The 16,531-nt window shown below is 35.9% G+C and overlaps 1 long non-coding RNA gene across 3 annotated transcripts in view; it reads right to left on the reverse strand.

Annotated features, from left to right (window-relative positions):
- Window positions 1-16,531, reverse strand: part of LINC02787 (long intergenic non-protein coding RNA 2787) — a 35,944-nt gene that overhangs the window by 2,590 nt on the left and 16,823 nt on the right. For all 3 annotated transcript variants that reach the window (XR_001737796.1, XR_947593.1, XR_947592.1), the window contains one exon: window positions 15,878-16,010. This is a non-coding gene — a long non-coding RNA (long intergenic non-protein coding RNA 2787). The remainder of the gene's footprint in view (window positions 1-15,877; window positions 16,011-16,531) is intronic.

Below are 16,531 nucleotides of genomic sequence, written 5' to 3' on the forward strand. Positions count from 1 at the left end.
CTCCAGGAGATATCTCAGGGCACTGTACCAGACTCAGGTCAGGTCATGACCACGCCTTGCCTACTTAGCCCATGTGGAAATATGCAAGGTCACCAGGGCACCACAAGTGAGCCATTCCCCTACGCAAGTAAAGAGAAATGCAGTGCCATATGTGTGATGGCAGAAAAATGCTCTGAGAACTGTGGGAACATATAGGAGGGTGCCCTAGCCTAATAATGCAATATGCCTTTTCAGATGCTTGATCTGCCTAAATGTCTCTACCTCATAAAGATTTGTCCAAATCAAGTCCAGGGTAAAAAGTTCCCACCACCTCCTTTGGTCGCCTTCTCCTAGCATTCTAGGCTGAGTAAATTGCTCTTTCCTTTGTATATTCAGAGTCCTTAATTCACATCTGTGTTTATTATTTGCCATAAACCATGTATTTATTTATAGGCCAGGCACTGCCTAAGGCACTGTAGACACTGCAATGAACAAAATGGAAAGAGCCTTTCCCTCACGGGGCTTACATTTGTCCTGTTCTATTCTGTCCTTTCAGTCTATCTCTAAAACTCTTGAAATTGTCTAATAGCCGAGATCCCCTGAAAGATCAAAAGCATCACTTCCTTTCATAAAGTGTATTTAATTCACAGTAGGAGAAACAAATCTATAATGCAGTTTCAAATTTATATAACAATGCAATAAAATTTCACAAAACTTCTTTTTGCCATACAGCTCCTAAGAGGAAAAATATTATACTGGTGAAAGGTGTGCTTATAATTATCATAATGCAGGCATTCAAGTCTAATAGAAGGCTTGTTAAATTCAACTTATGGCTTACATTGTTTTAAAAAGCACTGGAAAAGTTTTCCTATCCAAATTAATAATACTATCTGGCATAGCCAAGTTCTTTCCATTTACTTTTCCCCTTCTCTTATTGTAGTGGTTTTTAATTCCTGTCTGAATTTTGGAGGAAGGAAGGCTTTTTCCTAAGTTGTCTTTTACTCAAAAGCCCTTTTTTCTCCTGATTAGCAAGAGCAATTTAACCATCTTGTAAATTTCATGTCAATATGTAACCCCACGGAAATAAGTCACATATCAATTCTTTAAAGATGTAGGATTTCTTCTTAACGGATTTTTGCAATTCTGCAAAAAAAAAATTATAGAGCTGTGAGATGACTGCTCTCCTTGTTAGAACATCTATCCCCAGCCTAGTGCTATGCACTTAGCTGTACAGAAGAATACAAAGAATGGACTCTGTCTCTCTGAGGATAAAGGCTATGTCTGCCATGTTCACCACTACAGCTCAAAGTCTAGCACGTGGTACAATGCAGTAACTAGGAGAATGTGCTCTACAGTTAGAAGCCCTATGCTTCAACCCTGGCTTTCAAGCTGAGATCTGGAAAAATGTCTATTTGAGATCTCCATGCCTCTGTTTTCTTTTTGTAAAGAGGGGATAATAAGATCATTGTGGGGATTAAATCAATAAAGTGCTCAGTAAAGTACATGATACAAAGCATGAGCTCAATCAATAGTAACTATTATATTAAATTATCAATAAGCATTTGTTGACTGAATGACCCTCAATGAATTACTCAGTATCATAACCGATTTCTGAGCTTAACTGACATCCATCTATCCATACCTCATCTGTGTCCTACTATTTCCAACCATTGGTTCATTCTCTTCCTTTGTCCTTAAGACCACCTTTCAGCCTGTCTTTCAGTCCTTCAGGCTTTTTCTTCAACCTATCTATCTATTCTTCCTGCAACCTCTTAGATACTGACTAAGCAACTCACCTCCAAATATGGACTGACAGACTGATAACTACTCCAGTTTTTAAAGAGGTGTGCAGACACACACACACACATACACACACACACACACACACAACACACACACACTCCTACTTGACCACAGGGTGCAACCCATCTCTGGGAACCCTAGCCCTATTCTTGAGAAGTTCTGAGAACTGTCACAGACAATGGCTTCAAGTTGGAAAACACAATAAACTAGATGCAACACAGAAAGAACAGGGAGTATTGTATTTTGAGGATGATAAAACGAACAAAGAGGTAAGAAAAAATAGTGATGGGAGACTATATAAGGACATTTGCTGAAAGTCCTCCCAATTGAAAAGCAATGATTCTGTAAGTTCTTAGCTCACCTTGTTGACAACTTCCTTTCTCAGAACACAGAGCTAGTGACAAGTTAAACAGTCCATCTGTTGTAATTGTAATCCACAAGAATTGAATTGTAATCTACAAGAACTGGGTGAAGCGTAACTAGGGCCCATGATAGAGAAAGGGAGGACGGTTGGACAAAACAACAAAAATACTCCATGTTTTAAGGGGGTAAATGTAAGTCCCAGAGAAAATAAACAATTCCATTGCTTGATCCCCAGAGCAGGTAATTTGGAGACTATAAAAAGAAGATAATAGAAGAGAGTTGGCAAGATTTTCAAAGTGAACCCTTCATCCTAATGAAAAATAACAAGGGAAGAAGGTCACAAGGAATATTTGCTGGTTTCCTCTTCAGTATCCATTCTATCCTTCTTATGTCAAAAATAAATTTTGTGAAGGTTAATATTAGGTGTCAACTTGACTTGATTGAGGGATGCCTAGATGGCTGATGAAGCATTGTTCCTGGGTGTGTCTGTGAGTGTGCTTCCAGAGAAGACTGACATTGGAGTCAGTGAACTGGGAGATGAAGACCCACCCTCACTGTAGGTGGGCACCATCCAACTAGCTGCTAGCACAGCTAGAATAATGCAAGTGAAAGAAGGTGGATAAGTAGCTTGCTTGCTGAGTTTGCTTGCTCTCTCACTTTTGGTACCATGCTAGACACTTAGCTGTCCTTGGACATCAGATTCCAGGTTCTTCAACCTTTGGACTCTGGGACTTGCACGAGCAGCATCCCAGGGGCTCTGGGGCCTTCAGCCTCAGACCGAGGGCCACACTGTTGGGCTTCCCTGGTTTTGAGGCTTTCAGACTTGGACTGAACCATGGTACTGGCTTCTCTGTTTCCCCAGCTTGCAGACAGCCTAACGTGGGACTTCGCTTTGTAATCATGTGAGCCAATTCTCCCTAATAAACTCATATATGTTTTATATATATATATATATAAAAAATTGGGTCTGTTCCTATGGAGAGCTCTGACCAATATACCTTTGTTTTCAATTGTGGAATTCATCTCTTCCTTCATTCATAGATCAGTGAATTAAGATTCCCAAATGCCATGGTCAGCCCTTCATAGTTCCCCAGTCACACAGATTGGTTTACAGGTGAGCATTAGCTCAAGTAGAAGAAATAAGACTTTAAAAGTTGTTTTCTAAGATTTTTGCCTAAGAAACTCCTCTTTATTCTTCTGCAAAGTAATCAGAAAAGACTTTTTCCTTCCTCTGTATAAATAGCCACATGAATAGGGAAGAATGTAGAACCAGGATTTACTGGAAATCATATTCCAACTATGAGGGGAAATATGTCTCTTTCTTGAGACTTAGAAATAACATTAAATAAATAGAGCCAAGATATAGAGAGAAAGGAAATAAGTCCTAGTTTTAAGCTGTACCTGAAGCTTTACCTCAATACATGTTACTTACATAAGCTAATGAGTTTGCCTTATTGTTTAAATAAGTCTGAGTTGAGTTGTCTGTTTCTTACAACATAAGGAATCCTTGTGAATACAGGCTATAAGAGCTGCACAGGAAAGAGATCAAATTTTTGGTGACATCAGATTTTTAAAAGATAGGGGGAGAGGACACATAGACAAGGACAAAGACAAAAGTAGATCTTTTTAGTAAAAAGGTATTAAAATGTTTAATGCTTAAATAGAGAGAAGCCTGAAAATGATAATGTTAACAAAATACTCTTAAAATTATGTTTAGAACAAAAAGAGAAAATAGGCTGCAGTTTACTATTAATAAATGGCAAATAAATGGCAAAAAATGATTCTGATAAAACCTTCAAAGCAGCTATAATAAATACATTGAAAGAACTTAAAGAATCTGTGTTAAAAGAATTAAAGTAAAACATAACAATGACTCAACAAATAGGAAATCTCAACAGAGAAGTAGAAACTATAAAAGAGAACCAAATAAAAATTCTAGAGTTGAAAAGTACAATAGCTGAAATGAAAAATTCATTAAGCTCAGCAGCATATTTGAAATGTAAGAAGAAAAATCAGTAAACTCAAAGATAGATCAATAGAAACTATCCAGTCCAAGGAACCTATCTTTTCTGTTCAAAAGCTTAAAGAAAAATGAGCAGAGTTTCAGAGATCTGTGAAACAATATCAAGCTTATTAATATATGTGTAATGGGAATTCTAGAAAGATAAAAAAAGGACAGAAAAGTATGTGAAGAAATAATGGCTGAAAACTTCTCAAATTTGAAGAAAATCATTAATTTACATACTTAAGAAACTCAACAAGTTTCGAAAAGAAAAAAATACAAAGAGATCCACACCTAGAAACATTATATTCGAATTACTGAAAATCATCAAAAGACAAAGGAAAAATCTTTAAAGCAGTGCAGTAAAAGAAAAACACCTTATGTACACAGCATCAACAACTTCATTAATAACATACATCATTAGAAATAATGTAGGTCAGGAGCCATTAGAAAGACATATTCAAATTCCTGAAAGAAAAAAAATTCAACAAAGATCTTTATATCCAATAAAGCTATTCTTCAAAATAAAGATACTTCAAGGTAAAATAACTGATGTAAGTTATTGCTAACAGACCTATCCCATATGAAATACTAAAGAAAGTCTTTCAGGCTGAAAAGAAATAGCAACCTACAATAAATGAAATAACACACAGAAAAGGAAATATTAATTATCAAAACAGAAATCAATAAAATAGGAAAGAGAATAAGAAATAATAAAACCAAAAGTTCGTTATTTGAAAAAAATCAACCAAACTGATAAATCCTTAGCTACAGCAGAAAAATAAGACAGAAGACACAAATTACTAAAATTGGAATAAAAAATGGGAGATCATTATAGACATGACAAATAAAAAAGGATTATAAGAGAACAATTTTATTCCAACAAATTAGACAAACTAAATAAAATAGACAATTTCCTAGAAGAACACAAATTACCAAAACTGTCTTCAGAAGAAATAGAATATCTGAGTCCACATATATCAAACAAAGAACATGAAAAAGGAATTTTGAAGTCTTCTCAACACTCCATCACACACACATATAAACTTCAGATTACACTGATTAAATTCCAAAAATATTGAAGGAAGAAATAATATCAATCCTTTCAGAAAATAGAGAATTTCTCAACTTGTTTTATGAGGCCAGTATTGCCCTGATACCAAAGCCAGACAGAGACATCACAAAAAATTCAACTACAGACCAATAGCCCTAATGGATATAGATGCAAAAATTCTTCAGAAAATATTAGCACATCAAATCCAGCAACACATTAAAAAAAAGTTATGCACTAAAGCCAAGCAGGAGTTATCAAGAAAAGATTGGCTTAAGATCCAAGATCAATTAATGTTAACATACCATATTAATAAAATAAAGAACAAAAACCATGATTATTTAAATTGACACAGAAAAAGTATTTGACAAAACTCAACACCCAGTAATAATTAAAAAGGAAAAAGAAATACTTTAAACAAAATAGGAATAGGATGTTTCTACAACCCTACAAAAGTTATCTATGAAAAACGTACAGTTAAATCATACTTAATGGTGAAAGACTGAATACTTTCCCCCCTAACTAAGATCAGGAACATGGCAAGAATGTTTACTCTCACCACTTCTATTTAAAGTTGTATGGAAGGTTCTAGCCAGTACAGTTAGGCAAGAAAAATAAATTAAAGGACTCATTGGAATGGAAGAAGTAAAATTACCTTTCCTGGATAACACAATTTTGTATAGAAAATCCTAAGAAACTTATTTTTAAAATCTGCTTAAACCAATCAGCAAGTTTTGCAAGGTCACAGGATACAAGTTTTTATACAAGATATACAAAAAACAATTGTGTCCTATATAACAATTCTAAAACATAAGAAAATAATTCTATTAACAATAGCATCAAAAAGAATAAAGTACTTAGAAATATATTTAATAAAAGAAGTGGAACTCCTGAAAACTAAAAAATATTGCTAACAAATTTTTAATAGACCTAAATAAATGAAGAGATATATCATTTTCATAGATCGGAAAATCAATATTGCTAAGATGGCAATTCTCCCCAAATTAATCTATAAATCAATGTAATCCCTATCAAAATCCCCACAGGAACCCTTGTAGAAATTAACTATCTTAATTTAGGTAGAAATATAGAGAACCAAGATTAGACACAACAACTTTGAACAAGCAGAACAAAGCTGGGGGACTTAAACTGCCTGGTTTCAAAACTTATAAAGTTATGGTAATCACATCAATGTGGTATTGGCAAAATGATGCTAATACCATATTGACAAATGGATCAGTAGAAAAGAATAGAGTCTTGATATAAAACCTTCACATTTATGGTAAGTAAGACAATTCAATAAAGAAAGGATAGTCTTTTCAACAAATGGTGCTGAACAATTGGCTATCCATATGTAAAAAAGGAACTTTTATCTCTTGGAAGAAAAGGAGGAGGAGGAGAAAGAACTTACACCTTTACCTAGCACCATACACAAAAATTAATTTAAAATGAATTTCAGTCCTGAATGTAATAACTAAAACTAAAACCTTATAAAGAAAATATAGGGGCAAATTTTTGTGACCTTAAGGCAGATAAAGCTTTCATAAATATAATACCAAAGGCAAAACCCATTCAAAAAAATTGACAAATCTGACCTCATCAAAACTGAAAACTTTTGTTCTCCAAAAGACATCATTAATGAAATGAAAAGCCAAGCCACAAATAGGCAGATAATATTCGCAAATGCTATAGCTGATAAAGGACTTTCACCTGGAATATATAAAGAACTTTAGCAACTCAATAACAAGAAGACAGACAAACCAATTTTAAAAGAGGGGAAAAAACTGAACAGACATTTTATTAAAGAGAAATATAAATGGCTAATAAATACATGAAAAATGTTCAACATCATTAGTTACTAGGCAAATACAAATTTAAACCACAATGAATACCACTAAACATCCATTAAAAATGGCTGTAATCAAAAACTGTGACAATGCCAAATGTTAGCAAGGATGTGAAGAAACTGCACCCCATACATTGCTGCTGGGAATGTAAAATGATATCGCCATTTTGGAAAACAGTTTGGCAGTTGTTGTTTTTTTAAGGTAAACATAAATCTATCATAGGACCCAGTAATTCCATTGCTCTGCATCTACAGAAAAGAAATCAAAATCTATGTGCACACAAAGCCTTCTACATGAGTGGTCCTCAATAGCAAAAACAAATGTAGTACTGTGCTATTACACTTAAAAACACAGATGGACCTCAAAATCATTATGTTGAGAGAAAAATAAATGTTTTCAACAGAATGAAGGACAAAAAAATATGATCATCTCAGTAGATGCATAAAACGCATTTGATAAAATTCAAACCCCTTCGTGATAAAAACTCTCAACAAACTAGGCAGAGAAAGAACATACCTCAACATAATAAAGACCATATATCACAAACCCATAGTTAACATCACACTGTGTGGTGAAAAGTTGAAAGCCTTTTCTCTAAGAACTGGAACTAGGCAAGAATGCTCGCTTCACCACCCTTATTTGTCATAGTACTGGAAGTCCTAGCCAGAGCAATCGGGCAAGAGAAAGAAAAGAGAAAGTCAAATTGTTCATCTTTGTAGATTACATAATTTTATTATATTTAGAAAATCTTATATAATCCACCAAAAACTCTTTGATCTAATCAATAAATTCAGTAAAGTTGCAGGATATAAAATCAGCATACTCAACATACAAAAATCAGTAGGGTTCTAAATACAAATAACAAACTATCTGAAAAAGGTGTTAGGAAGGCAATCTCATTTAAAATAACTACCAAAAAAATGCCTAGGAATAAATTTAACCAAAGAGGTAGAAGACCTCTACAAGAAAACCTACAAAACTCTGATAGATAAATAAATAAATAAATAAATAAATAAATAAATAAATACATACATACATACATACATACATAGGACACAAACAAATCAAAAGACAGCCTATGCTCATGGATTGGAAGAATCATTATTGTTAAAATGACCATACTACCCAAAGCAATCTATAGATTAAATGCAATCCCTATCAAAATGCCAATGACATTTTTAACAGAAATAGGAAAAATAATCCTAAAATTTATATGGATCCAAAAAGAGCCCAGATAGCCAAAGCAATTCTGAGCAAAAAGAACAAAAGTGGAGGTATCACACTACCTGACTTCAAAATATATTTCCAGGCTATAGTAACCAAACAATATGATATTGGTATAAAAACAGACACATAGCCCAATGGGACAAAATAGAGAACCCAGAAATAAACACATGGATTTATGGCTAACTAATTTTCGACAAAGGCACCAAGAACCTATATTAGGGATAGGACACAGTCTTCAATAAAGAGTGCTTGGAAAACTGAATATCCATATGCAGAAGAATGAAACTAGAGCCCTATCTCTCACCATATACAAAAATCAACTCAAAATAGATTAAAGACTTAAATGTAGAAACCAAAACTATAAAACTACTAGAAGAAAACAGAAAAACTCTTCAGGATGCTGGTCTGGCCATGGCTAAGACCCCAAAAGCACAAGGAACAAAAAACAAAATAGACAAATGGGACTATATTAAACTAAAGGAAATAATCAACAGGGCGAAGAGGCAACCTGATGAATGGGAGAAAATATCTGCAACATATTCATCTGAGAAGGGACTAATTTCTAGAATACACAGGGAACTCAAGCAACTCAACAGCAAAAAAAACAAAAAAAATTCTGCTAAAAAGTAGGCAAAGAATCTCAATAAACATTTCTTACAAGAAGACATACAAATGGTAAACCGGCATATGAAAAAATGCTCAGCATCACTAATCATCAGGGAAATGCAAATTAAAAACACAATGAGATATCATCTTATCCCAGTTAGAATGCCTATTATCAGAAAGACAAAAAAAAAATAGATGCAGAGAAAAGGGAATTCTTATACACTGTTAGTGGGAATGTAAATTAATACAGCCATTATAGAAAACAGTATGTAGATTTCTCAAAAAACTACAAATAGAACTACCATACAATTCAGGAACCTGACTACTGAGTATTTATCCAAAGGAAAAGAAATTAGTACATCAAAAAGATACATACACTCCCATGTTTATTGCAGCATTATTCAGAATAGCAAATATATGGAATTAACCTAAGTGTTCATATAAAAAAGATTAAAATACCTAGGAATATAGCTAATCAGGAAGGTGAAAGTTCTCTACAATGAGAATTACAAAACATGACTCAAGGAAATCAGAGATGACACAAACAAATGGAAGAATATTCCATGCTCCTGAATAGGAAGAATCAATATCATTAAAATGGCCATACTGCTCAAAGCAATTTACAGATTCAATGCTATTCCTATCAAACTACCAATGATGTTCTCCACAGAACTAAAAATAACTATTTTTAAATTCATATAGAACCAAAAAAGAGCCCAAATAGCCAAGGCAATCCTAAGCGAAAAGAACAAAGCTGGAGGCATCACACTACCCAACTTCAAACTATACTACAGGGCTACAGTAACCAAAACAGCATGGTACTGGTACAAAAACAGACACATAGACCAATGGAACAGAATAGAAAGCCCAGAAAGAAGGCTACATGTCTATGATCATCTGATCTTTGACAAACCTGACAAAAATAAGCAGTGAAGAAAGGACTCCCTATTCAGTAAATGGTGCTGGGATAACTGGCTAGCCAAGTGCAGAAGACTGAAACTGGACCCCTTCTTTACACCATATATGAAAATCAACTCAAGATGAATAAAGACTTAAATGTGAAACTCAAAACTATAAAAACCCCGGAAGACAACCTAGATTATACCATTTTGGACACAGGAATGGGCAAAGATTTCATGACAAAGATGCCAAAAGCAATGGCAACAAAGGCAAAAATTGATAAATGGGATCTAATTAAACTTAAGAGCTTCTGCACAGCAAAAGAAACCATCAACAGACTAAATAGACAACCAACAAAATGGGGGAAAATATTTGCAAACTATGCATCTGACAAAGTTCTAATATCCAGCATCTATAAGGAATTTAAACAAATTTACAAGAAAAAAAACCCCATTGAAAAGTGGACAAAGGACATAAACAGACACTTTTCAAAAGAAGACATACACATGGCCAACAAGCATATATTAAAAAGCTCAATATCACTGATCATTAGAGAAATGCAAATCAAATGAGATACCATTTCACATCAGTCAGAATGGCCATTATTAAAAAATCAAAAAATAACAGATGCTGGTGAGGTTGCAGAGAAAAGGGAACATTTATACACCGTTGGTGGGAGTGTAAATTAGTTAAACCTTTGTGGAAAGCAGTGTGGTAATTCCTCAAAGAGCTAAAAACAGAACTACCATTTGACCCAGCAATCCCGTTACTTATACTGAGAAGAATATAAGTCATTCTACTATAAAGACACATATACAAATGTTCATTGCAGCACTATTCACAATGGCAAAGACATGGAATCAACCTAAATGCCCATCAGTGACAGACTGGATAAAGAAAATGTGGTACATGTACACCATGGAATACTATGAAGCCATAAAAAAGAACAAGATTGTGTCTTTTGTGAGAAGATAAATAGAGCTGGAGGCCATTATCCTTAGCAAACTAGTGCAGGAACAGAAAACCAAATACCACATGTTCTCACTTGTAAATGGGAGCTAAATGATGAGAACTCATGGACACAATGAACGGAACAACAGAAATTGGGGCCTAATTGAGGGTGGAGGGTGGGAGGAGGAAGGGAAGGAGAGGAGCAGGGAAAATACCTATTGGGTGCTAGGCTCAGTACCTGGGTGATGAAATAATCTGTAAAACAAACCCCCATGACATGAGTTTACTTATATAACAAACCTATACATGTACCCCTGAACCTAAAATAAAAAATAAAAACAGAAAATGTGGAATATATACACAATGGAATATTATTCAGCCATTAAAAGAATGAAATTCTGTCATTTGCAGCAACATAGATGGAACTTGAGGCCATTATGTCAATTGAAATAAACTAGACATGGAAAGACAAATAGTTCATGTTTTGTCTCATATGTGGGAGAAAAAAAAAAGCTGATCGCATGGAGGAAAGAGAGTAGAATGTCAGCTACCAAACACTGGGAATGGTGTAGGTGTGGGGAGCCAGGGGCAGGGCAGTGGAGAGATAATGAGAGTTTGGTTAATGGGTATAAACATACAGTTAGATAGAAGAAATGAGTTCTAATGTTTGATAGTATGGTAGTGTGACTATAGTTAACAGCAATGCATTTTGCATTTCAAAATAGCTAAAAGAGAGGACTTTAAATATTCCCAACATATAGAAATGATACATGATCAAGGTGATAAATACTCTAAATATCAACTTGACCATTACACATTCTATGCATGTAACAAAATAGCATACGTACCCCATAAATATGTGCAAACATTTTGTATTCATTTAAAATTAAAAAAAAACACTATGCTGAGTGAAAAAGAAAAACAGATACAAACAACTATATGAGTGGAAAAGCCAGAGGTAGGAAAAAGGATTTAACTGAACAAGGCAGCTGTCAGAGTCACTGAGACCTCAGTCCATGCCCTCTGCAATCAGCACAGACTCCCAGAAAACGAAGTTCCTGTAGATAACACTGTCAGGGCAATGGTGAAGAGCTCAAATTAAGACTGAGAAAATGCAGGAGGCTAGAATTATTTATTTATTTGTGATTATGATGGTACAGATGATGGCAATAAGTTGCCATTTATTGAGTGCTGACTCTGACAAGCAGGAATTTATCAAAGCCCTTTACCAATGTCACATTTAACTCTCACAACAGCCATAAATGGTAGGCCTTATGTGGCTTCCTCAATAAAATGGAAATCGTAAACTCAAAGAGGTGAAATGACTTTTCCAGAGTCATGCAACAAGCAAATGGCAAAACCAGGATTTAAATCTGGGTCTGTTTGACTCTCAAGCCCTTGCTTTTACCCACTATCCATATTGTCTGTCCCATGACACAAACATTTGCAGAGTACCTACTATCTAAAATTCAGAAAATTTATGTACACAGTTATAGTCAGGACCCCTGTTCTTATTTCACAGAGCATAAGATAGGTACACAAACTGCTATTTGGAAAAATTCTGAAGACTCCCCACATTTAGTCAACAGTGCCCCAGAGCCCAGCTTCCCTTCTTACTTCAAGCCCAGTAGGAATCTTCACTTCAGGATTTAATCCCTCTTCTCCCTAAAAAGATAAGAAATGTCCAAGAAATCTACCCAGTTCCAGCACTCAAAGGAAAATTTGTCACAGAGACAATATCTAGGGAGTGGAGAGATGACTAAATTTAGGTGTTGTTAACTTCCTCTTAAACAATGTTAAGCTGGAGGAAAGTGGGGTTTGAGTTGGCAGATCTAACAATGTTTCAGAGGGAGGAAGGCATGGGCATATTAAAGCTCACAACATTAAACTCACAACCTTGTCTATATAAGTAGGATGTGCAAAAAATCCAATAGGCTCTGATTACCAGGAGATGGTAGTGCACTAGTCTCATGTGCATCCTGATTGAAAATTCAGCTGCATAACCTTCCATGAACTGTTTATCTTATGTACTTATTTAACTAACATTCAAACTGACAAGACTCCTACTTCTGGGCCTTCTTTTTATACTTTCATGTACGAACGATCAGATGAAGCTCAGATACCACAAACTTTGCATGTTTTTGATTTTGCACATAAACTGAAGGTTAGAATTCTAGTCTGTGTCCTCAGTCATTCAATTTTTTTAGATCTTTGAACATGACTTCAAACCCTGCCAAAACACAACCCAAATACAGGCTTGCTTCTATGTCTGTACAAATACGTAAAAGAAATGGGTATGTCAACTTTCAATGGATACCAGCCTAATTGAAGCTTTAACTACTGTCAGGGAACAAAGGCAGCCAGAGCTAACTAAGTCTGCTTTGTTCAAGGGTAAGGAGACATTCAGAAAGATGAGGAATGAATAAGTGCAGGTAGCACAATGGAAACAAATCCAAAACTTCACTGGCCACTACAATATACACCAACTTCTCCTTATTCTGATCTCCTACTGCACTTACAACCATACCCAACTGCAGCAAAATATTTAATCACACACACTGTATGAAAAGTATTGGTTATTGTTTCGTGCATATGTCTTACAAATAAAAAATACTATAGTTGTATATTTCATCATTTTAATACTATCTCATTTTATCTCTAAAATGGCCTATTGAGGTAGATATATCATATAGAACCCTTGATTTCACAGATGAAGAAATCGAGCCTGGAGATTTCATTTATGCATCAGTATTCATTAAGCAGAGAGCTGAGAATCTACGCCCATCTTGGGCTCCAGGTCTGTTGCTCTTTCCCTGTTATCACACCACCTTAACATGAGAGCAGTGAGACACCTGCATTTCCCCGTAACACAAAGCTGCAGAGATGCTCAATGAATACTTTCTCACATGACTCCTACTTCTACCCCTCCGCAGGTAAAGCAATCTGTGGCAGAGGAAGCACTCACTTTTTAATTTGTCTGTACAAGTCCATTAGACCTCAAGAGTAGTGTGAGTTGGGAGAAAACATAATCTTTCAGCTTTCAGGCTGATTATGACTGACTCCAGAATTCTTTAAATGTTCAGAGAATATATGGTCTTAACTGTCCATGTCTCAGGGCCAAGCCATATCCTCCCCTGCTGCCGCTTGCACAGGGTGGTGGACTACTAAATGGTGACAATTCATCCAGAGTAGGAAATCTGAAGTCCAATAGAGGCACTAGGATTTTCATATAATTGATATAGTTAGCTCCTTTTCCCCCATTTTTCCACGACCCTTCTTAGACCCAGCTATTTTGTCTCTACATTCCAATCTTTCTCTCCTGAGTGGTTTTCCTCCTGCTGGGTCACTCTGGAAACATTGTAATAGGTGTTACAACAGCTTTTTTCCATTATATTTCACCAAAACAAAAAGACATAGTTCACCGAGAACAACACACAATCAATTTGACTGGAATCGTGTTGACTGGCCACTGGTCTTAACTCCTCCACCATTACTCTATCCGAAAAGCCAAAATTATTGAATGTTATACAAACAAGATAAAAAGTGGTAGATTATTAGGAACAACTCTGTTAGGTTCCGAGAATTCATGTTACAAGGCCAACATCACAGTTGTGCAGCATCAAAAAGAGAAAACAGAACCTGAGGGCCATGATCTCCAAGGTATCCCTTTTGCTATCTAGTTCTGTATCCTGGTTGCTTAATGCCACAGCTTATAAGATGGATGGTACCTTACATTTCATGTCTCCTTCCCGCACCCATAGCCTCCGAACAAAACTGACTTGGGTCCTGCTCAAGCAAGGAATTGCCCTCTGCTTCTTAATCTGACAATTGCTAAGGCATTTTTATGTACAGCGTATGCACAGGTTAATTTGTTTCCCATTCTAGGTAACATATGTGCATTTTAATAAAAGCTTTCTAAAATCTATGCCTTATCTCAAAGGCATGGATTTAAAGGTGAGAATTTCAAACAATAGGGCAGGGGACCCTCTGATCACGTCATGCTTTCAAGACAACTGCCTCTTCCACCCTCACTGGACATAAGCTCCAAATGATTCAAATGCTAATAAGCACTGGGTAACACTTGTTTACCATACTTTTCACCAAAGCAAATAGACTACAGGTCAGATCACTTTTCCTCTCAGTGTTTTTGTGCAGCAAGTCTGTGAAGCAAGGCCTGGTGTTGCAGAACATCTCCTGAAGGTTTCAGCACAGCTTCACCGAGTTCTCAAACCAGCCAGGGAATTTGGAAGCAGTTGTGCTAGATATTTGTTCCCCTCCTTTCCTCAAAGATGTTCACTGTTTGAGACCTCAGATTACTTTCCTCTCAGTATTTTTCCTTTAAATTCAAGGTGGACAGATTTGATGTAAATCATTGAGCATGTATTTGGACACCTTTTTTGTGTTGGCCTGTGTTCCATGCTAGGAGTACAAAAATCAGGGATAGCCCCTGCCCTCAGAGATCAATGTTTTGAACTAACCATTCACTCAGTTTGCTTAATAAGTCTGTTTTTTTTTTAAGTTAGAATATTGTTTGAGTTTTTCATTAAAATTTTAAAAAACATCCTCCATCACCACCATCAATTTACTTTAGAATCCCTTAATACAATGAAGTTAATAAACTCACCCACATTTTGAGGATAAACTTAACCCCTAGGGATTGTGTGAGGCAAAACTTAAATCCCAAAAGACAATGTGTGGCAGAGGCACAGCTGACAATGTACACAGGTTTATAACATCACCTCCCTGAGCAGTTCCAAAAAGCCAGATTTCCACATTGGCTTTTGGGTTTCTACGCAAAGCAGATAAGTAGAAATTGCTTATCATCTATTATAGGGTGGTGTTTTGATCCTTCTGGCTTTCGCTTCTTTTTAATAGTATCGAAAATTCCTGTGGTTCAGTCCCCATTGCCTCTAGGCCAAGAACAGTAGTCCCCTAGTGCCCTGTAGACACTTTATATTCCTAGACACCCACCTCATTAATGACTCTATGAAGGTTTTTCAGGAATGTCTGTGCTCTCCCATGGTCCTCTTTTTACAGCATTATTTCTTTTCTCTCTTCCTTTGTCTATTGCATAACTCTGCTTTTCTTTCTCACAAACAAACATCACCCTACCATCCTATTTGGACTTCAGAACTACTTTCTACTTACCCTGCAGTGAGTCTGTGAAGTGAGGCCTGGAGCTGCAGAACATCTCCAGGGGGTTCCATCACAGCTTCACACAGTTCTCAGACCAGCCAGGGAATTCGGAAGCAGCTGTGCTAGATATTTCTTCCCCTCCCTTCTGCAAAGATGTTCACTGTTTGAGACCTCAATAACCATTATTTAGCACTGATATTAACATATAGCATTGGCAGCTTAGAACTTTCCAGAAAATAAAATCTGATAAAAGACAGTGTCCTAGACACAAGATAACAGACATACAAAGAGAGACATTTTTATATTAGTGGGATAACAAAGGGTGAGATGAAGCCAACTTTGTTGGAGCAGAGCAGTGGCACTCAAAGAAAAGTGTTATTGAGCTCCAAGTGAACAGCCACCACAGGCCACTGACTGGCATGAATTGTTTACATTAGTCATTCCCAGCCTGCCATTCTGTTTCAGCTTGGTCATGCGGAGTAACCCAAAGGAGTAAATAAATAGGAGAATAACAAACCATCTCAACAAACCATTCCAAAATAATTCTAGAAGATACTATGCCATTAACATGCCATCTACACCTGCAATATTCCAGCAACTTCCCATTCACAAATAAAAAGAACATTATAGTATTGTCAATTGCTCATACTGCCCATGCCATAGTAT

The sequence above is a fragment of the Homo sapiens genome, chromosome 1, assembly GCF_000001405.40.
Source record: "Homo sapiens chromosome 1, GRCh38.p14 Primary Assembly".
NCBI lineage: Eukaryota > Metazoa > Chordata > Mammalia > Primates > Hominidae > Homo > Homo sapiens.